General features: G+C 39.6%; 1 protein-coding gene and 1 long non-coding RNA gene across 2 annotated transcripts in view, besides 2 other annotated features; both read right to left on the reverse strand.

The window, feature by feature from the left end:
- Positions 1-22,525, reverse strand: part of SOGA3-KIAA0408 (SOGA3-KIAA0408 readthrough) — an 80,930-nt gene that overhangs the window by 36,071 nt on the left and 22,334 nt on the right. The window contains exons 5-6 of the long non-coding RNA NR_174482.1: positions 8,437-8,508; positions 817-1,992 (exon numbers count right to left, since the gene is read on the reverse strand). This is a non-coding gene — a long non-coding RNA (SOGA3-KIAA0408 readthrough). The remainder of the gene's footprint in view (positions 1-816; positions 1,993-8,436; positions 8,509-22,525) is intronic.
- Positions 1-22,525, reverse strand: part of MTCL3 (MTCL family member 3) — a 46,362-nt gene that overhangs the window by 1,503 nt on the left and 22,334 nt on the right. The window contains exons 5-6 of the mRNA NM_001400265.1: positions 8,437-8,508; positions 817-1,992 (exon numbers count right to left, since the gene is read on the reverse strand). Coding sequence (NP_001387194.1) covers positions 817-1,992; positions 8,437-8,508 — 1,248 coding nt within the window. The remainder of the gene's footprint in view (positions 1-816; positions 1,993-8,436; positions 8,509-22,525) is intronic.
- Positions 6,716-7,915: an enhancer, noted in NCBI's record as "BRD4-independent group 4 enhancer chr6:127802337-127803536 (GRCh37/hg19 assembly coordinates)". NCBI's record gives its function as "activates an origin of replication core promoter dependent on BRD2, P300/CBP, MED14 and CDK7 cofactors, and independent of BRD4, by STARR-seq in HCT116 cells {active_cell/tissue: HCT116}" and the evidence as "EXISTENCE:reporter gene assay evidence [ECO:0000049][PMID:35650434]".
- Positions 9,828-9,957: an enhancer, noted in NCBI's record as "active region_25041". NCBI's record gives its function as "activates an Ori minimal core promoter by ATAC-STARR-seq in GM12878 lymphoblastoid cells {active_cell/tissue: GM12878}" and the evidence as "EXISTENCE:reporter gene assay evidence [ECO:0000049][PMID:35858748]".

A 22,525-nucleotide genomic window follows, 5' to 3' on the forward strand; every position in this document is an offset into this window, starting at 1 on the left:
CATGTTGGCCAGGCTGATCTCGAACTCCTGACCTCCTGCCCTCTTTGGCCTCTGGGATTACAGGCATGAGCCACAGTGCCCTGCCATCAATTCTGTTTTAGTTTTATTCTTTCTTTTTTTTGAGACAGGGTTTCACTCTTGCCCAGGCTGGAGTGCAGTAGTGCAATCACCATTCACTGCAGCCTCGACCTGCCTGGGCTCAGGTGATCCTCCCACATCAGCCTCCGGAGTAGCTTGGATTACAGGTGCGTGCCACCACACCCAGCTAATTTTTCATATGTTTTGGAGAGACGGATCTTGCCTTGCTGACCAGGCTGGACTCGAACTCCTGAGCTCAAGCAATCCACCCTCCTCGGCCTCCTAGTCTAGTCATTTTTTTTAAATCCTAAACTCAATATGGATCTTGGCTCAAAAACCACATATCAGCAGTTAAATATTCCTATCCAGGACCATCTTGCAGTTCATCTGCTAGCAGAGTAACAGAGAAAAATATTGACCTTCTAAAATAATAACGTGCCTCAAAATCCGTTACTCTTTCCACAACAATTGAGGGTAATGGTGTTCAGTTTTCCTTTTAAACAAAACAGAGGAAGAAATGGTGACTATGTGATGGAGTCACAAAAACCTCAGCCCTGCAGAAGGACAGTGTGGAAGAACTGGTGGGCCGAGGCCGGGGGTTTCAGGCCCCAGCGCGGCCCTGAGCGGGGGCTTCCCTCAAGCGGGGCGCGGCAGTCCGGGCGCCGAGACGCCCCCCAGGGACGCGGCTCCACGGGCCAGCCTGGCCACCGCCGTGGCTCGCAATAGGCAGAACTGTACCTGACTCACGGAAATGGGCTCCTCGGCGCCGCGGTCGTCCGCAGACTTGGGCACCTCGAGGCGGTCGATGAAGGTCTGCAGCTCCTTGCGGAAGGCCTTCATCTGAGCGTTGATGCGGTAGAGCAGCTCGTGCTCCCGGATGCGGCTGCCGTCGTCCTCCTCGTCCATGAGTCCGAACAGGTCCCCGTTGGCCACGTAGATGCGCGCCTCGGTGATGATGGTGCTCGTGTCGGCGATGAGCCGGTCGATGGTCTTGCCCAGGCGCTCGGCCTCCGAGCGGATGTCCTTCATCTGCTGCCGATCGGAGAAGCTCTTGGGCCAGGGCCCGGGCGCCGGGTAGAAGGAGCGAGTGGGCGTGAGGCAGCGGATGTTGCGCACCTCCTCCGAGTCGCTCTCGCCGCCGATGGGCCCTTCGCGCTTGCGGTGCGGAGGCCGCGAGTCGTCGTCGCTCTCCTTCTTGCCCGCGTCGCTCTCGGCGTCGCTGTCGCGGGGGCTGCCGCGGATGCCCAGGTGCGAGGCCAGGTCGTAGCGCTGCATGTTGGACATAAGCACGCGGTTCTCGTACTGCAGCTGCATGACCTTGCCGCTGAGCTCGTTGATCTGCAGGCGCGCCGCCTTCAGCTCCTCCTGCAGGGCCTCGGTCTTGGCGTTGTCGTGGTGCCGCGCGCTGTCGTGGCCGCCGGACTTGTACTTGTACTTGTTGAGCTCCGCCGTGATGCGCTTGTTCTGCTCCTCCAGGTCGGCCACGTTCCTCCGCAGCAGCTCCGTCTCGTCTTCCACCAGCTGCAGGTGCTGCCGCAGCTCCGACAGGGATTCGCTCTGCTCCCTCATGAGCGGGTTGGCCGAGCCGTTGAAGTCATCGCCCCTAAGGTCGTCCAGTTCCGCCTTCAGGCCTCTGTTCTCCACCTCCAGTTCGACGATTTTCCTGCCCAGGATGTTGGCTTCTTCCTCCACCAGCCTTAGCCGTAGCTTGAGCTCGGCCTCCCTAGTGCTGGGAGGGCCTCCGGCTTCTCCTTTGGGCAAAGGACTGTCCAGATCCCCATAAAAGGATCTGTACTTCTGGAGCTCGTGTTCAAATCTGTCCTTTTCTTTATCAATCTTGGCCATTTTCTTTCTCATCAAAGCGGCTTCTTCCTTAACAAACTGCAGCTGGCACTTCAGATCTTCATTGTCCTCCTCATTTGGGGGAAAAGAGGGAAAAGGATAGGAGATCATTTTTATGTAAATCAAGGAAACAACCAAAAGAGGACACCTGGATAAATAATTTTTCTTGCAATCCAGATTTAATGACAGAGAGAAACAGAAGCAGATACTGTGTATTTTCTTCAGATCACTTAAATTCTCTGGCAAATTAAAGATTAGAACAATGTTACATCCTGGAAGCAAAAAGGAAAAGGAATATGAAAAGAGAATAACTGTGGCATCACTATTCAGAGATTATTATATGTTGTAACTGCATACAACTGTTTGGTGATCATTTCAGCAGTGTTTCTTTTGTTTCATTATTGCAGTAATAAATATAAAATCTGTTCAACGAGCATGTGGTTCATATGCATTTGCGGCCACTTTTTTGTCACTTACACTGAGCCAAGTGCTGAAAAGTGTTTTACAAATATGAACCTAATTTAATATTCAGAGTAAACTTAGGAGTAGTTATTACAGTTCCTGGTTTAAAGATGTTCAGTAACCGTTCGAAGGTTACACAGCTAATGAATAGCAAAGGACAAAGGTGAAATTTGAATCCAGTTCTGTCTGAAACAAATGCTCAGGCTCTTGATTTCTGTGTCACTTAGGAAATAATCTGCCCCCTGTTTTTATTCAAAGGAAAATTGTTTTAGAGGCCTGTAAGTCAGCAAAGTTTGACATTGGAATGGTCCATCCAAGGAGAAACTGTTAAGTTTTCCATCTAGATCACATTTAAAATAGGTTGTACTCCCATCAGTCTGAAATGGATAAAGCCTGGCAAAAGAATAGTGGAACTATAGAAGTTCTTCTCACACATTCTTACGACAACCTCAGAGCCCAATCATTAACTAAATTGAAAAGTACAAAAGGAGGAATGGAAATCTTTCTCTGAGGGATATTACTGAAGCATGTTATTATGTCTAAGGTCATTTCTCCCAAGGACAATTTCTCAAAATTCTCTTTTAAGTGTGTACTTTGAGCCAATCATATAACTTCTGTGAACTTTGGTTTCTTCATTAAAAAAACAAAAATAAAAATTCTTTCCTTATCCAGTACTCGGTCATCTGTGTTTGAGATGCATTCTGGTAAAGAAGGAGCAACCACTGGTGAGAAGGTGAGGAGAATAATGAGCTTCTGCCAGAGATGCTCAGTAAATACCACACAGAGCCTTTGAGATGGAAGAGATGGAGAACAGGGCACAGGTCTTCTGTCTTCCTATCTACTAATGGGAATATGAAGAATATGAAGGGTTTGAGAGCTGCTGGGTGTGCAGAGCCTGAACATTACATTCCATATAGTATTAAATACTTATATCAGTCCTTCAAGATAGGTGATGCTATCTCCCCTTTACCGATAGGGGAGATTTATTAACATTGCAGTGCACAAGTTAATAAGTGACAGAGCACAGTCTATATTCTGGCTGAGTCCCAAACTCATATTCCTTCCACTGCACATGCTGCCTCTAGAAAAGAAGCATAAAAGAAAAAAAAATAGAGCAATGTGGTAAAATCAAAGAAGTAAGATGTGTTGCCTTGTACACTTTCCTCTAGGAGAGGTTTAGAAGAAAGAAGAGAAGGACTACCAGAAGAGATGAGAGAGCCTTAGCAGCATCCAGAGAGGAGAAGAGGGCATGTCATGGAAAGCTTTGATGGAAGATTTTTTGAGGATGAGACCAAGGACATGTTACAATGTTTTGGATCACATCAGCAGAGGAATCAAAGATGACCCTGAATTTTTGAGTTGAGGGGTCTCATTGGATTGTATGGCCAATAGCAAGGATAGAGAATGAATAAAGAGGAGCATTCCATTTAGATCGCTTTCAAAATAGGATGTACTCCCATCAATCTAAAATGGATAAAGTTGGTTCTGCCTGCTGAAAGGACAGTGGAATGAAACTTACAGAAGTTCTTCTCAAACATTCTCACGACATTCTCATGACAACCTCAAAGCCCAGTCATTAACTAAATTGAAAAGTACAAAAGGAGAAATGGAAATGGTTTTGGGTGAAGAATGTGGGTTTAAGGTTTTAAGAATGCTGTCTGTGAGGTGTTCCAGTGGAGGGATACAGGGTGGAAACATCCATCAACAGTCATGTAGAATCTCAGGCTCATGATTAGATTACTAAGATTACAGCTTGGCACTTAGAGCTCAGGTCTAGAAGTGAGGACGTGTGGATGAGATGTGTAGAGGTGATGGTTGAACCTATCATAATGGTCACAGACACAACCAATGAGGAGAAGAAAAGAAAGGGAGACATATGGCCAGGCGCGGTCACTCATGCCTGTAATCCTAGCACTTTGGGAGGCTGAGGTGGGTGGATCACAAGGTCAGGAGCTCGAAACCAGCCTGGCTAATAGGGTGAAACCCCATCTCTATTAAAAATACAAAAATTAGCTGGGCATGGTGGCATGCGCCTGTAGTCCCAGCTGCTCGGGAGGCTGAGGGAGGAGAATTGCTTGAACCCCGGAGGCAGAGGTTGCAGTAAGCCGAGATTGCGCCACTGCACTCCAGCCTGGGTGACAGAGAGAGACTCCATCTAAAAAAAAAAAAAAAAAAAAAAAAGAGAAAGGGGGAGACAGGTAAGAAATAGTCAAAGGTTTGGGAGGGGAAATCTAAGGTCATGTAGGCCAATAATTAGAAACAATGTTTGAACAGAAACATGACCAAAAATGATATGCTAAACAAGGGGTGGATTATTCATGCCTCCCCATTTTAGACCATGTAGGGTAACTTCCTGATGTTGTCATGGCATTTGTAAGCTGTCATGGCACTGGTGGGATTGTAGCAGTGAAGACGACCAGAGGTCACTCTCGTTGCCATCTTGGTTTTGGTGAGTTTTAGCTGGCTTTTTTACTGGAACGCATTTTATCAGCACAAATAAATGTCAAATATGCTTTTACATAGGCTAGGTTTTATTTGACATGCAAGAGTAGATGAGACTGGGAAGCCAGGTAGGGTTGCATATGTGGTGGAAGTCCTTGATTGCAAGGCAAGGCCTTTATTTGCTAGTATAGTTGGCATATACTGCAAATTGAATCTAACCAAAACAGCAGTGGGTGTGATACAAGGCACACACTGAAGCAGAATAACACTTCACTGGGTTATATTAAGCAAATAAAAAAGAGAATATCTGATTTGTGTGTATGTAAGCGCTCCTGCCCAAAGGAATGAAAACAACAATTATTTTAACACTTGGACATAGACTGAATATAATAGAGTCATTAGGAGGGAAAGAGCTGCATCAAGGGCTAATGGTCATGGTAATTATTTTATTTATTTAAAAATAAATATTTTCAAGATACAAAATGTGCTAGTTTCTGCAATGCCAAGAGTTTACCACCCTGTATGCCAATATGCCTTGCATCCTGATCTTGTAACCCAACTATTGTAGGCTGCATTGGAAACTTGGCATAGAAATATCATACATAATTATTGATAAAAAAAGGAGATTGTATGCAAAGTGCCTGGTCCACAGTAATTGAGCAGTAAATACTTTCTCCTATTTTCCACAGTGAAAGGTAGGCAAGAAAAATTAAAATGCTCTGAGGTGTGAAGCAAGTTATTTCTTATTTTTGTGTATGTTAAAGACTCACTCAATTGAAGATACAAATTACATGTGAAGAGGGGAACATAAAGATATGATGATGATGAAGGCCAGTAAGAAATGAGCTACTCCTGGCTTTCACTTTAAGAGCCACTACTAGAAACTAAATTGCATTCTAATCGATTACATATATTAACTCATTTAGTTTGTACAACAACTCTCTATTATGATTCCCATTTTATATATGAAGAAATAGAGGCACTAAAAAGAATAAGTAATGGGCCCAAGTTCATACAGCTGGTATATGCCAGAGATTTCAACCTAGGCAGCCTGGCCCTAGAGCTACAGTTCTTAATTGCTGTGCAGTATCATTTCTCTGTAAATAAAGTCACTGTGCTGCTGGAGGAACATGTGAGAAAGAGATCAAAGAAGCTGAAGCAAATTAACAAAATGAAATACAAAGCTAAATGAATAATAGAGAGTTGGACCATATGAAATTGCCACTTCTGTAGATCAAATTCAATAGCATGTTGGCAATTTTGTGTGATTTCGCATAGAAAAAGGAGACATGGGAGTATTTAAAAGCATGTATTGAACATGTGCAGAGTGCCAATCACTAGACACAGATGATTCAAAGCTGAATAAGATGGCTCCTGTCCACAAAAATGCCCTGGCTAAGTAGGAGAGATGAATGCATAAACAAGAATTACAATAGAATGGTATATTTTCAGTAATACAAATATGTGGATCGATGGTTTGCAACCTTGACTGAGCATTGGAATCGTGTTATAATTTTGTAAAAATTGACCATTTTATAATTGAGATATCCCATCAGAGATAGCCTGATCAGTCTCCTGAGGTGGGTTTTTTAAAAGTGACAGGTCATAACCTCTGAAAATAAATGTGTTGGAAATGATAGCAGAAACTTCAAATGCTACAGTATACTTATAAAAAAGGAAGTTTTTGTCCATGAAATAAAAGCTGGTAGATTGCATAGCATCTTGACTTTTTTAAGGTCCCTGACCTCACTGAGAAACTGATTAAAGTTGTGGATGTTTTTGCAGAAAGTTGCCCACATGCATAGTGAGTGGAGGTCCATAAAGCCAAGACTAAACAGTTAAGAATTCCTGCATCAGAGACTATGGTTGAAAAGAATAAATAAACTTTTAACACAGGAAGTGTAAGAATAGGACAAATGTAGATACAGCGTCTACTCCATAAACAAGGTAGGAAAGAAGATTCATGGCAACACGTGAAATGATTCACAACAAAATATTTAGAGTGAGTTGGATAAAGTGACAGCAAAGACAGAGTGGAAAAGCTGTAGTGACAGAGTATATTTGGACTTACTAAGGGAACAGAGAGAAAGGTACAAAAAATGATATCATGGTCTTGGCTGTGAGACTCTCTGGGATTCTAAAAATGCTGAGGTCCATACATGTTCTGGTGCAAGTACCAGGAGAAAACAGAGCAGGAACAGAGCAGGTACAGAGAGGAAAAAGGAAAATAATATATAGTTAATATGTTATGCTTTAAAAAATGTCTGAGATCAACTTTTTCAAATTTTGAATATTTAAAATCACTTTAGTTAAATTATCTATCTAATGTGAAAAAAACCTTGTAATCACAAAAGTATACTACAGTACCATAGATTCCAACTGACATAGTTTAAAGGTTAATATCTAGCCAAGTGCTTTTGGAGAGTTATAATGTCAGAGGCGTGTGACCCAGAACAACTACATCTTGAATAGGAGCTGGGTAAAATGAGGCTGAAACCCACTGGGCTGCATTCCCAGATGGTTAAGGATTCTGAGTCACAGGATGAGATAAGAGGTTGGCACAAGATACAGGTCATAAAGACCTTGCTGATGAAACGCATTCCAGTAAAAAAGCCAGCTAAAACTCACCAAAACCGGGAATGACCTCTGGTCGTCTTCACTGCTACAATCCCACCAGTGCCATGACAGTTTACAAATGCCATGACAACATCAGGAAGTTACTCTATATGGTCTAAAAAGGGGAGGCATGAATAATCCACCCCTTGTTTAGCATATCAAGAAATAACCATAAAATGGGTAACCAGCAGCCCTCAGGGCTGCTCTGCTTATGGAGTAGCCATTCTTTTATTCCTTTACTTTCCTAATAAACTTGCTTTCACTTTACTCTATGGGCTCGCCCTGAATTTTTTCTTGCACGAGATCCGAGAACCCTCTCTTGGGGTCTGGATTGGGATCCCCTTCCTTAACAATAGTGTCATTTTTATCCCAAATGTTTCCTCTTCCATTTTAAAATCTTCTTCATTACAACCATTGGCACCTCTTTTTACCTTGAAAGCAAAGCTAGTCTTTACTGTGGCTGTGCTTCTAAGGTTTTTAACAAACCCATGTTGAGTACATCTTTCAACTTTCATTTTTATTCTTTTGTCTCCTTTCTTTTGCTTCTCCAATCACTGGTATGGAGAATTACTTCATTCCAGGGCTCTCTAAAGATATAATGAGCCTTTCTCTCCTTTCTGACTTCCCTCTGCAACATTCCTTTCTTTACTTTCTCCTGACACTATAGGAACAGCCTTTCTATTGACCTTATTAATTATAAAAGGACAAGATTAGCATCATGAGTATAGTTCTCAAATATAGCAGCGTATAAAATACGAATGACATTTTTCTGTGTGCTTACAATGTAAAGCAATTATAATAGGGATGTTATGGTTGGCTTTATAAGTAAATATTCTGATTTATACTACCTGTATCTACAGCTACATAATTGATATGCAAATTTGACTTTGTTTTGCATAAGTTTATCTGGCCATTATATCTATTTATAAATGTAGTTTGTGATTATATACACTTAGAGGTACTTGGTGTACTAGTTGAAATTTTATTTCCACATACCTCTGTGGGAGTCTGTTGAGCCTTTTTTTCAGATTTTGGCAAATCTTTGCTTCCTCTTCTTTTTAAGGATAACTGAAACAAAGCATGAATATATTTAGTTGGATAAACTATAATTTTAATTCAATTTTATGTTTTTAAGTATTCTAGTCTCAAACGACAAAACCAAGACAAATAAAAAGAGTTAGTTCAATAATCATAAAAGGAGGAAAAAAAATCCTAAACCAGATAGATTTAGATATATTTTTACTTTGGACTAGGATACACATCACAGTAGAATGTAGCTGGCAATTATTTAATTTGAGAAATACAGGAAACCTACTGTGAAAATGCAGAAAAACAACAGACAAAATTGATTGTTGACTCAATATGATATATAGTTCAAATGTAAACAAATGCTTGTTAGCATTCCACATCACTGAAGGAAAAAAAGTAAGTTATTATTTCCAATGTTGGGAGTTAGGTTGCTATAAGCTTATGAACACACACTTTCAGTGAATTTATGTAGAATCGGAAGCACTTCATTCTCCCCTCACCACACATCACCCCCTTGCTCCTCCTCGACACGTGCAAAATGATAGGGCATGGTAGGGGTTGTAGTGAAATGGAGAAGGCATGCCCCATCTCAAGAAACAGGTGGACCAGCCACAGCTTCAGCTCATTGTGTGATACAGGAATGTGGGCTTTTACAAGAGAAGCTGGGAATCTGGATTCTTATGTAAAATCTCCCACATTTTACTGGCTGATCCTAATTAAAATTCAAACTAACACTTTGGAAGTCAAAGAATACACAGCTAGTGCCAAACTGTTTCAAGGACAAGCGTAATATGATCTCTGGTGCTCAGTTCCATTTCTCACACCAATATAAGAAGAAGGGTCTCTGTATGTAAACAATAATTATCCGTATGTATGACTGTCTACCATATACTACACATTGAGGGGGAGACTCAAAGTTTGATTAGATACTGCATCTACCATCAGGAAGCTGAAACTTAGCAGGGGAGGAGACAGAGAAGCAAACAATTACAGTGCAAATTGATAAATGCTATGCTTTAGGTTCTGTGAAGCAGGGGTTTTGATTTAGTGTGGCATCACCACCATAAAAATAGTGCTTGCCACATGGCAGGTGGTGAAAAAAATACTTGCTGAACTAATGATATATGAATACCAAATCGAGGTTCTGAGGTCAAAGAGAAGGACAGGGGTATAGACTGACAGTAAAAATAGGGAAGCCTTTTCCAAACAGGAGTCTTCATAAATTCGCAAAGAAATGAAAATTAAATTCTTCACATGTTAATTTCTAACCCATATCCACTGTTAAGTAAAGGCATACGTTCAAGCACAGAAGGCAGGGGAATACTTTGGTGCAACTGCTTTCATTCAGTATGAAACTGAAACTACACAGACAAATGAATAGCCCACGTGGTTATTCATTTCTAGTTCTTTACAGGAAGAAGTTCTTTCTGTTGCTTGTATAATCTTCTTAGAAAGGAAAGCTTGGGGACTGACTCACCATAACCAAAAAGTAATTTAGGAAGTAATCAACAAAACAGTCCCAAGAATACCAAGAATAAAGTGAGCTAAACTAAGAAACCTGGAACATTCTAGGTAGGGGCTGCCTACAAGAAGCGTTGAATTTGTTTCACTAAATACTTATTGAATGCTTGTATTTGAATTCACTCAATTATGTGTTTATTTAGTGACTACCAATGCACTTCATAACATACCTGTGACACAATAATAATGAAACCAATGTGATCTTTGCTCTTTTGGGGGTTCTCAGCTTACTTGGCATGATCTGTTCAGTCTGGAATTCAACACAGTGTTATGAAAGCAATGATAATACAAGAACAATATTAACTGTCATTGAGCCCTAATTCATGTCAACCCCTTCACATACATTATCTCAGCTAATTTTTAAACACTCCTTTTAGCCTCACTTTGCAGGTGCTGAAACTAAAGTTTACAGGGGTAACAGAAGTAGATGAATAAATTATCAAAAGCATCAGTTATCTCTGTGCTCCTCAGAACAGCATCATCAGTGTCACCCAGAAAGCTGTTGGAAAAGCAAATTCTTGAGATTCATCCCAGAACCACTGATTCAGAAACTCTGAGGATGAGGCCCAGTGATCTATGATTTAATAAGCTAAAGTTTGCAAATGTCTAAAGTTACTAGTTGGTAACAATAACTTCAGACCTTGACCCAAGTCTTTCTCATATCTAACTGTTAGCTATTAGATCACTAAGGAGAAAGACTTTATCTAATCTAGGGCTAGAGATGGTGTGGGGAGCTAGGGATAATTTCCAAAATGAGTAGCATCTTATCTAGAATCTGGTGCATGAGTAGTTAGCCAATGGAAGATGAAGAGGAGGAAAAGGGAAAAAAAAAGGCATTCCACATAGAAAAACCATTTCTGGGACAGAAATTCCATATGGGTGTTACAGAGTGAGAGGAGAGGAGTGACATGAGATTTGCTGGTGGCATAAGTCAGATCTTGAAGGACATTGAATAAAGATTGAATTTTATCTTATTCAGGTCAAATTATTGTCCTAGGGTCAACTTGGAGCACTAAATGCTCCTATTGAGCAAGAAATGTCATAATTAGACTGTCATAGAGATATACAAAGACACAAGGGTGGCAGTACAAATCGCTGTGAGATAAAGATGTTACATGCAGGGGTTTCAAGGGAAAGTATGTTCTAGTTCTGGAAATGTTTTTTGGTCTTTGTGTTTCATTCATTTCATAGGTATTTAGTTTCTGGTCTATATGTGGTACTGTATATATGCCAAACACATGTGACTAAGAAATATTGTACTCTTTCCCCAAAGAGCTAACTGTTTATAATGATAAAAAGGATGCAATTAGCAAAAACAGTGGGCAGAACTAACTCAGGGCAATAAATGAACAAAAAGGGACTGAGAGGGCAAAGGAAGAAGCTCTAATTCCAGATCTGGGGAATCAGAGAAAATCATTCAAGAGAACTGACTTTTGAAGGATATGCAAAATTTCAACAGAAATAAAACTGAACAAACTGTTGTAGGAGTAAAGATATAGAGGAATGAGTTTGCCTTTCAGATGCACTAACTCCTGAAAAGAAGTGATGGAGGTAGGGCCACTGTAGAGATGGGGTAAAAGAAGATGCAGAAAAGATTGAGGTCAGCTTGTGCAGCTGAGAAATTTAGACTTTATCCTGTGGGCAATGTTAAAATGAGACCTCTAAATTAATATAAGAGCAATGCTGAAATTAGGGCATTCTTTCCTAAGAGGCATTTTCTATTTTGCTTTTATTTAAATATCACTCAGGTGGAGTGTTAAGCTCAAATAAAGCTCTGAAGTAAAGCCTTCCCCTTGAATAAAGATACATTAGCTTTCAGGTGCCTTTAGGGCTGCTACTATGTGTAAGTATCACATTTGCATTTTCAATAAATATTTCATATTTTCATATTCCAGTAAGTTTATGTTAACTTTCTGAATCCTATGAAACAAAGATGAGACATTTCTATGGATACAGAAAGTTAGAGAAATAATGTGAGTCCAAGTAGTCCCTTTCCTGTGAGGATGAAACTGTGTAACCTCCCCCCTTGTCATCCTCCCCCACCATCATCCACTAAATCTTGTAACCTCTGCTAGGGGAGCAGTTGGGGAGGCCACAATGAAATCTCAGATTTTCATATTTGCTGGCAAAGCAGGCACTTCTCTAGATGGTTCTCTAGATAAATACGTTGAAAACATTTATTGTCCACTTCTTAATTCTTTACATTCCCAGCCTCAGCTTGTCCAAAAGAGGCTGCTGTTTTTTTTGATCATGAGAAGGCCAGGAATTAGAGAGTTTTGCCAGTAATTATTTTTTCACAGCAATGATATAAAATGGGTTGTTTGTTTTCTAAAAATGTTTTGAGATTATCTTCCTTTTCTCAATTAAAATTTACTCCACTTAGTATGTAGCATCTTTATGTTTTCAGCAATTAAACCACAGAGAAGAATGTGCCTAACATGCTACCAAAAGACATATTATGCATATAGAAGTCTCCTATGCTGTTGATAAAATTAAAGAGAGATTCATTTGTGTGGTAATTAAATCAAGAAGGAAACTATAGAGACATTAATATTTAGATCTTTTGAGCCCTAAATATGTGTCATGCACTTTTCTAAGCACTTTATATGTATCTACTCATTCAGACTGACAACAGACTTATTGACACCATTGTCTGAAGCACACAATGGATTTATCGCTCAGCTAGCTAGTGTTAGAACCAGGATGCAAATTAGCCAGTTTCAGAGTTCCCACTCTGAACAACTACATTATACTGTTACTTCGACAGAAAAAGGTGCAATTTAGATAGCAGGCTTATATTATTTCTGAGCATATCCTTTATGGTAACAGAGCGTGACAGCAAGGTTTGGGGTACTAGGTTACATATATGACACATGTGCAGAAGTTTTAATATTTTCAACACAGGGATCAGCAGAAGTGACATACACCACTTACTGGTTCTTAAATCAATCTGTAAATACTGTGACTATAGGGTAACACTGGGAGGGAGGCCCAGGGATTGCCTGCTGGAAGGAAACTGAAAAAGGTAGAAGCTCTGTCTCCAACTTGTCTTGGAAGGGGACAGAATGGGCTCTTGTTCCTAGAAGTCTTCCTCTTTTCCTTCTATTACATCCTTGACACTTACCCAGACAGACTGGCAGAGGCAGAACAGGTGAAGTGCCCAGAGAGCTTACTTAGGACCACATTCACTCTCTTCCCTAAAAGGGTGAGGCAGGATCCCAAGCTTCATACTAAGGCATGATCTTAAGGTCCAGAGGGGAATGTGGGTGAAGAAGAGGCACATGCCAGGGTGATCAAGCTGTATCATCCTGTGCAAAATCTTTCAGTGGCTTCCCATCTCACTGAGTTAGAGTCATGCTTTACTAAGGTATACCAGACCCTGACTACACACTGGATTTATTCTGGTAATGTTTTATAAAGACTTGACCAGATTTCAACCCAGACCAATTAAAACAGATTTTGGGATTGGGCCCAGACATTTTTTCAAAGCTCCCAGAGTGACTAGAATGTGTAGCTGGTTCTGTCAACTACCAGCCCACTCTATGTGGTCACCCCACCCCCCAATCCCACATCCCAAACAAGCCCTTCAACCTCATCTCCCACCACACTCCTCACTGCTTTCTTTGCTCTAGTGTCACAGGCATCCTTGCAGTTCCTCAAACATACCAAGTATGCCCTTGTTTGGGGCCTTTGGATTATGGCTTCCTCTGCCTGCAACATTCTTCCATCATATACTCTCATGACCCACTTCCATAGTCTCTTCAGGGTTCCTAATAAGAGAGACCTTCCCAGGCCATTTCATATCAAAAAGCAAATCCTTCGGCCATTCTCTTCCTTTGCATATTCCTTGTCTTCCTAATTCTGCTTTTTAATTTTTCCCCATAGCTCCTCTAATCTCACCAACTGACTTGTATATTTGTTTGTTTCAATGTCTGTTTTCTCATTCTGCAATGTGAGCTCCACAAGAGCAGGCTCCTAGAATTGGTCTCTGTTATAGCTCCTGCTCTTAGAAATATACCTGACACAAAGTAGTTGTTTAGTCTATGTCAGTTCAATGAGGAAACAGCCACTGTAGCTTTATTTCTTACCTAGATTTGTTTTGGAAGCGTTACTAAAAGTCAATAAATGATAACAGGTAAACAAAAGCCCATTTGAAAAGGTCTACTTTAAAAGTAGACCTTTAAAAAGCTGGAATATAAAATGGAAAGAAGCTGGAAAAATAAAAATGTCTTAGGCTTTTCAACAAAAAGACTAAAGAGTCAAAATTGTATGAGCTGAAAAGTATTTAAAACAGGACATATCACATATAGCTGGCCCTCTGTATCTACAGGTTTCACATCTGTGGATTCAACCAACCACAGATTGAATTTTTTTTAAGTACAACAATAAAAAATAATGCAAACTTAAAAATGATACAGTAAAAACCACTATTCACATAACATTTACATTGTATTATGTATCATAAGTAATCTAGAGTTGATATAAAGCACAGGCATACCTTGATTTATTGAGCTTCACTGTATTGTACTTCACAGATACCACAATTTTTACAAATTTAAGATTTGTGGAAACTCTGCATTGAGCAGGTCTATTCGTGCAATTTTTCTAAAAGCATGTGCTCATTTTGTGTCTCTGTGTTACATTTTGGTAATTCTCCCATTATCTCAGACTTTCTCATTATTATTATATCCATTATGATAATCTGGGATGAATGATCTTTGATGTTACTCTTTCAATTGTTTTGGGGCACGATTAACTTCACTGATATAAATTGGCTAACTTAAATGTGGTGTGTGTTCTATCTGCTCCACCAACTGGCTGTTCTCCCATCTCTCTCCCTCTCAGGCCTATTCCCTGAGACACAACAGTATTGAAATAGGCCAATTAATAACCCTACAATGGCCTCTAAGTTTTCAAGTGAAAAGAAGAGTCATATGTCTCTCACTTTAAATCAAAAGCTAGAAATAATTAAGCTTGGTGACGTAGGCATGTCCAAAGCCAAGATAAACCAAAAGCTAGGCCTCTTGTGACAAACACCTAGGCCTCTTAGCCAAGTTGTGAATGCAAAGTAAAAGTTCTAGAAATAAATTAAAAGTGCCACTCTAGTGAACACACAAATAATAAGAAAGCAAAACAGCCTTATTGCTGATATGCAAAAAGTTTTAGTGGTCTGGATAAAAGATCAAACAACCCACAACATCCCCTTAAGCCAAAGCTTAACCCAGGGCAAGGCCCTTACTCTTCAATTCTATGAAAGTGAAGGAAGAGAGGTGAGGAAGCTGCAGAAGAAATGTTAGAAGCTAGTGGGCATTGGTACATGAGGTTTAAGGAAAGAAGCCATCTCCATAGCACAAAAGGGCAAGGTTCAGCAGCAAGTGCTGATGTAGAAGCTGCAGCATGCTATTGGGAAGATCTAGGTAAGATGATTGGTGAAGGTGGCTACACTAAATAATAGACTTTCAATGTAGATAAAACAGCCTTCTATTGGAAGAAGATGCCATCTAGAACTTTCATAGCTAAAAAGGAGAAGTCAATGCCTAGCTTCAAAGCTTCAAAGACAGGCTTTCTTGTTGGGTGCCAAAATAGCTGATAATTTTAAGTTGAAACCAATGCTCATTTACCATTCTGAAAATCCTAGGGTCATTAAGAATTATGCTAAACCTATTCTGCCTCTGTTCTATAAATGAAAGGACAAAGCCTTTATGACAGCATCTCAATTTACAGCACAGTTTACCAAATATTTTAAGCCCACTTTTGAGACCTACTGCTCAGAAGAAAGGATCCCTTTCAAAAGATTACTGCTCGTTGATAATGCACTTGGTCAAACAGGAGCTCTGATGGAGATGTGCAAGGAGACTAATGTTCTTTTCATGCCTGCTAACACAAAATCCATTCTGCAGCCCATAGATCATGGAGTAACTTTAACTTTCAAGTCTTATTATTTTAAAAATGTACTTTATAAGGCTATAGCTGCCAGGTAGTGATTCTTATGATGAATCTGGACAAAGTAAATTGAAAATCTTCTGGAAAGAAATGGCATTCTAGATGCCATTAAGAATATTCATGATTGGGCCAGGCGCAGTGGCTCACGCCTGTAATCCAAGCACTTTGGGAGCCTTAGGCAGGTGGATCATGAGGTCAAGAGATTGAGACAATCCTGGCCAACACGGTGAAACTCCGTCTCTACTAAAAATACAAAAATTAGCCTAGTGTAGTGATGCGTGCCTGTAGTCCCAGCTACTCGGGAGGCTAAGGCAGAAGAATTGCTAGAACCCGGGATGCAGAGGTTGCAGTGAGCTGAGATCGCACCATTACACTCCAGCCTGGGGGACAGAGCAAGACTCCATCTCAAACAAACAAACAAACAAACAAAAACACACACAAAAAAGAATATTCATGATTGATTGGAGACGGTCAAAACATTAACAGGAGTTTGGAAGAAGTTGATTCCAACCCTCAGGGATGAGTTGAGGGGTTCAAGACATCAGTTGAGGAAATAAATGTGGTGACAATAGCAAGAGAACTAGAAGTATAGCCTGATTGTGATTGACTTGCTGAAAGCTCCTGATACAACTTTAATGGATGAGGAGTTGTTTCTTATAGATGAGCAAAGGAAGTGATTTCTTGAAATGAACTGTATTCCTTGTGAAGATGATATGAACTTTGCTGAAATGACAACAAAAAGTTTAGAATATTCCATAAACTTCCTTCATAAAACAGTGGCAAGTTTTGCAAGAATTTATTCCAATATTTTAAGAGATTCTACTGTGGGTAAAATGCTGTCAAACAGCATTGCCTGCTACAGGGCAGTCTTTCATAAAAGGAAGAGCCAACTGACGTGGCAAATCACATTGTTGCCTTATTTTAGGGAATTGTCATAGCCACTCCAACTTTTGGCAACCACCACCCTGATCAGTCAGCAGCCATCAACATCCAGGGAAGACCCGCCATCCAACTAGATGATGACTTGTTGAAGGCTAAGATGATCCTTAGGATGTTTTAGCAATAAAGTATTTTAAAATTAAGGTATATACTTTTTTTAGATACCATGTTATTGCACACTTAACAGACTACAGTATAGTATAAACATAACTTTTACATGTACTGGGAAACCAAACAATAGTGTGACTTGCTTTACTGCTGTGGTCTAAAACAGAACCTGCAATATCTCTGAGGTAGGCCTATAAATGGGAATATGTGAGTAGACCAGCCTGGGCAATATGGTGAGACTTTATCTCTACAAAAATTTTTTAAAAGTTAGCCAGGCATGGTGGCATGCAGCTAGTCCTAGCTACTTAGGAAGCTGAGCCAGGAGGATAGCTTGAGCCCAGGAGTTCGAGGCTGCAGTAAACTATAAACCCACCACTATACTCCAACCTAGGTGACCCTAGACTCCAGCAAGACCCTGTCTCAAAAAAAAAAAAAAAAAAAAAAAAGATGGACTCTACTTCCGTACCTCTTCTAACTGAACTGGCCTTGTGACTTGCTTTGACCTGTAAAATCTGTTGGCAGAAATGGCGTGCTGGTTCTGAGTCTACCCTTGAGAGATTGTACAATTCTGCTCACTCTCTCTTGGAAATCTGCTACCCTGTGTTTTAAGTCTGGGCTGGCCTGCTCCATGAAAAGTCATGTGGCCCAGATGCTCCTATTGCCCTAGTGAACAGCCAGTTAATCCTCAATGCAGAGCCTTCTAGCTGTTATCTGACCATAAATACATGCATGGACCTACCTGAGACCAGAATGGACCACAGAATTATGAGCCACATAAATGTTGTTTTAAGCCACAAAGTTTTGGGATGGTTTGCTACACAGCAAAAATCCACTGACACATCTACCAAACATTCTTCACCCCGGGATTAAAAAATACACTAGGCTAATAAATTTAGTTCAGATTTATAAACAATATCCTGTATTCAAATTCCATAAAAGCGAAAAAAAAAGAATGTAAAAGGCTAAGAGGAAGAGTTGAGAAGGTTATCAAACACAAGAAAAATAAAGCTTAATGTATTTTCCTTGTTTTTATTTCTCCCCTGCCTTTGCCACTATTTTGATTCCAGAAATTTTTTATTTTTAAGACGGAGTCTCACCCTGTCGCCCAGGCTGGAGTGCAGTGGCCCGATCTCGGCTCACTGCAAGCTCTGCCTCCTGGGTTCACGATGTTCTCCTGCCTCAGCCTCCCTAGTAACTGGGACTACAGGCGCCCGCCACCACACCCGGCTAATTTTTTGTATTTTTTTAGCAGAGGCAGGGTTTCACCGTGTTAGCCAGGGTGGTCTCAATCTCATGACCTCGTGATCCACTCGCCTCGGCCTCCCAAAGCGCTGGGATTACAGGCCTGAGTCACCAGGCCCAGCCCCCAGAAAAATTTTTTAATGAAACTGAGCTTAAATAAATTATTTTTAAAGTTCACTTTTCCAGTTCTAAATTGCAGATGCTGCCCTTACTAATAGCAGGTGTTCAATTAGCACCAAAGGTATATAGGAGTTAAAAGCTAATAAATTTCATCCTAACATTTAAGCTTATTATATATGAAGTGTTTCTTCTATTTGAACTTAGCTTTTATTCTTCATTTTTAGGAAGAAGTGATATATACATCTTCACAATGCCTTTATCTATGCCTCTGATTTATATTTGTTCATCCCACCCTTAGTTTTAGCAAACTTTGTTTATCATTCTGTTTCTATAGTTTTCCTAGGCAAGAGAAGAACAATAACTTTAAATATTCCAAAATTTCCTACTTATGTAAATTTACAGAGTTGAAGCACAAATACAAAGTGAACTATACCCAGAAAATTATCAATTTTAATTTAAGGATTCGATTTTCCAAACTTACAGTGATAGTTTAAAAAGCCAGACTTTAGAAAAGAATAGAGAAGGGAAGAAAAGAAGCATTATTAATTCATTGATTCTAATAAATAATGTTGGAAGATATGGGAAGGAAAGTTGATTGGCAATTTAAATCTGGAAATTGTTTCCAGAAGGTAATAATAAATTTTAAAAGTCCTGGATTTTTCACTTTGACTCCCTTCTAAAGATGGTCATAGAGGCACATGTCAGAGGTGAGGAGGTATATCTGGCATACAGATGTTTATGTCATGAAGGCAGAGACCTGAATTTGCCAATAAATCAGCCAGCCCTCTTCTGCTAGACAGCTAAACCCTTTCTCCATCCCATAAGGCCAGGTACCGTTCCTATCTTTTGAGTTATGAGGCTGCCAAACTTATTTCATCCTATCTCCAGTGAATGCCTAAATAAAAGCAAATTTTAAAAGCTGAGAAAACTATTTTTCTGCTCTAAAAACTGATACAATGCCAAACTAAAATAGCTGTGATCATGGTATTATTTTGTTTTATTTTTTTAAATTAAAGAATCCAATAAATTTTCCTTTTCCTAGTTCCTCTATTCTTTTCCCATGTGATAAAGTAGATACCTACAGCAGAGCTCAGATTGACGACAGAGTTATGTGAATTCTTTATCGTTAAGGAATATTAATGAGTCAATTTGTAGAGCATACCCTTGAACCAGGCTACCAATAAAAGAGGAAACTTTTAAGTCTTTTTTGGTGTGGGAATCAGAATTATCTTCACAGGGCCAAATAGGTTTGCATGGCCCTTCAGTTGTACAGTGTCTTTTTAAGCCATTCTTTGGTGCCAGGAATTACTTTAGAACATATCTGCCCTTTTCCTAGTGTATTATTTGGTAATAAAGCTTAAATGTCTTTAAATTGGAACCCATGCTTTGTAACTATTAGTGGCATTAAACTTAAAATGGCAAAACTGCAATTACTTTTGCACCAATTTAAGTGTACAGTGAAATTTAGGTACATCAGAAACTTAGAAAGTAAGATGCTGAACTTAACTCTAGAAAATATAAGAGAGCTTAAAAACCATAGGATATCAGAAAGAAGAAAAAAAAATAGAGGCTTCTCTTGTTAATGGGATGTGGTTACAACAGAACTGGAGGAAATAGCACTGACAAAAAACTGTAACAGTTGAGGCCTACAAGATCCTTGTGAAAACATCCCCTTTAAAAGTCAGGTTAGAACTCCATATGGGCTGCCTTGCATTATGTAGTTCATATCATATGATCAAAATATTTCCTGGATCCTTAGGAAGAATTGGCCTCTGTATTTTCTAAGCTTCTCTGGGATTCATCAAGGGACTCAAGGCTACCAGTGAAGTAGTTTATGATACAATTAACTCTTTCATCATTGTAGAACCTTCTTTTGGAGCAGGGTATGGGTTATTAGAGGGTCTGTCAAACTGCCAATAATAAACTGATCACAAAGCAAGACCACCTTGCTTTAAAAAATCAAAGCCAACATGGTAAGTGCTTCTTTAATATATCATGTATTATACTTGGTTGGCACCATGCAAAAGCCTCAGAGAACTCCACCCAAGCAAATGGATTTAAGACTGGGATATTTCTCAGCTTAGAGTTTTAAAAAATCTGAGAACCTGGTGGCTCACACCTGTAATCCCAGCACTTTGGGAGGCCGAGTCGGGCAGACCACGAGGTCAGGAGATCAAGACCATCCTGGCTAACATGGTGAGACCCCGTCTCTACTAAAAATACAAAAAAGTAGCCGGGCATGGTGGTGGACACCTATAGTCCCAGCTACTAGGAAGGCGGAGGCAGGAGAATGTCATGAACCTAGGAGGCGGAGCTTGCAGTGAGCCAAGATCAAGCCCCTGCACTCCAGCCTGGGCGACAGAGCATGACTCCATCTCAAAAAAAAAAAAAAAATTATTTTATATCTTAGATCCACAGTAAAGATATGTTTATTAAACTATGGATGACAACAACAAATGCAGAGATGTATTCTAATTTACTCTTGTTAATGGATTGGGTTCTAACCATCATTGCATTGAGTAATTAAAAGACACTTAGAAAATTATGTCTGGGTGGTGACCAGAGTTCCTTAAGGCCTTTGTTTATAATTCAGGCAAAGAAAAAAAACTGTGGCCAACATTTATAAGGTGAAAGGATGAGCTGTCCAGTCTATTCTACACTGCATCTCAACCAGCTTCGAACTCATTAATGCAGTGAAATTAGCAACATTGTTCTATCAGGATTAGAATCTTGTAAGAAATATGCTTGAATGTGCCATTACAAGATGGCAGGACACTAAGGGGTGGGCATTACATGAGTGTTTTAAAATTATTCTTTACACAATTACATATTTAAGATATTTCATAATACAAATTTAAAGGTCAGAGTATTCATTAATTTCCAAAATGCACTGAAAGGATATAGAAGCACTTTTCTGAGGGTAATTCCTGGACTGGGTTAAATGTGATAGCCCACAATTACACTTTAAAATTTTTGGAATTAGTTACCAAATTTAAAAATGTAAACCATTTACATTTGAAAAATCCAAATTTCCAGTTTCACTTGAAACACTTGAAGAACGGGTAAAGTTGGGTCTAGATTATGGCATGGCAACGCTGGGTTAAATTGAATATTAAGACATACACTCTCGGCTGGGCATGGTGGCTCACGCCTGTAATCCTACCATTTTGGGAGGCTGAGGCGGGTGGACTGCCTGAGCTCAGGAGTTTGAGACCAGCCTGGACAACATGGTGAAACCCCATCTCTACTAAAATACAAAAAACTAGCTGGGGGAAATAAATGCATGTACACAAGAGCATGAGATACCACTGCCACAGGAATAAAATATTCCACATATTAATGAAGTTAAGGAAAGTAATCAAAGATGAACCAGACTTATTTCCTAAAGTAATATTTTTTAAAGAAAATTTACCCTGTTCATATTGTTACTCAAATTGACAGAATTCTGAGTTAATATAGTATAAAGCTATCATTTACTTCTGATTAAAATATATCTGAAGGCCAAGACAAAAACGTAAACACAGTAATATCAAAAACTAACATGGTAGTCAAGCATTAACCAGAATCTGAGAAAATTTTTTTTTAAAAATAACATCAGTGAAATTCAAACAAGAAATATAAGCTATCGAATGTATGGCCTTCAATGTGTGAAACAGAAGGATTTGACATGCAGACCAATGAAAACTAGAAATCCTGTTTCTTAAAAGGCTAAATGTAAATTTGCCATATGACCCAGCCATTCCAATCTTAGGTACATACTCAAGAGAAATAAAAACATATATCCACCAAGGACTTTCACAGTAATATTCCTAGCAGCATTGTTCATAATAACCAAAAGTTGGAAACAACCCAAAATTCCACCTACTGGTGAGTGAATAGATAAAATATGATATTTGCCCAATGGAATATTATTTGGCAATTTACAAAAGGAATGAACTATGGATACATGATATGACACAGATGAATGAATAGATAAAATATGATATTTGCCCAATGGGGTATTATTTGGCAATTTACAAAAGGAATGAACTACGGATACATGGTATGACACAGATGAACTTGAAAAACACTATGTTAAGTAAAAGAAGCCAAACCTAAGAGACCACATACAGTGCAATTTCATTTATATGAAATGTCTAGAAAAGGTAAATTCATAGATAAAAGAAGTAGATTAGTAATTGCC

Source organism: Homo sapiens, chromosome 6, assembly GCF_000001405.40.
Source record: "Homo sapiens chromosome 6, GRCh38.p14 Primary Assembly".
Lineage (NCBI taxonomy): Eukaryota > Metazoa > Chordata > Mammalia > Primates > Hominidae > Homo > Homo sapiens.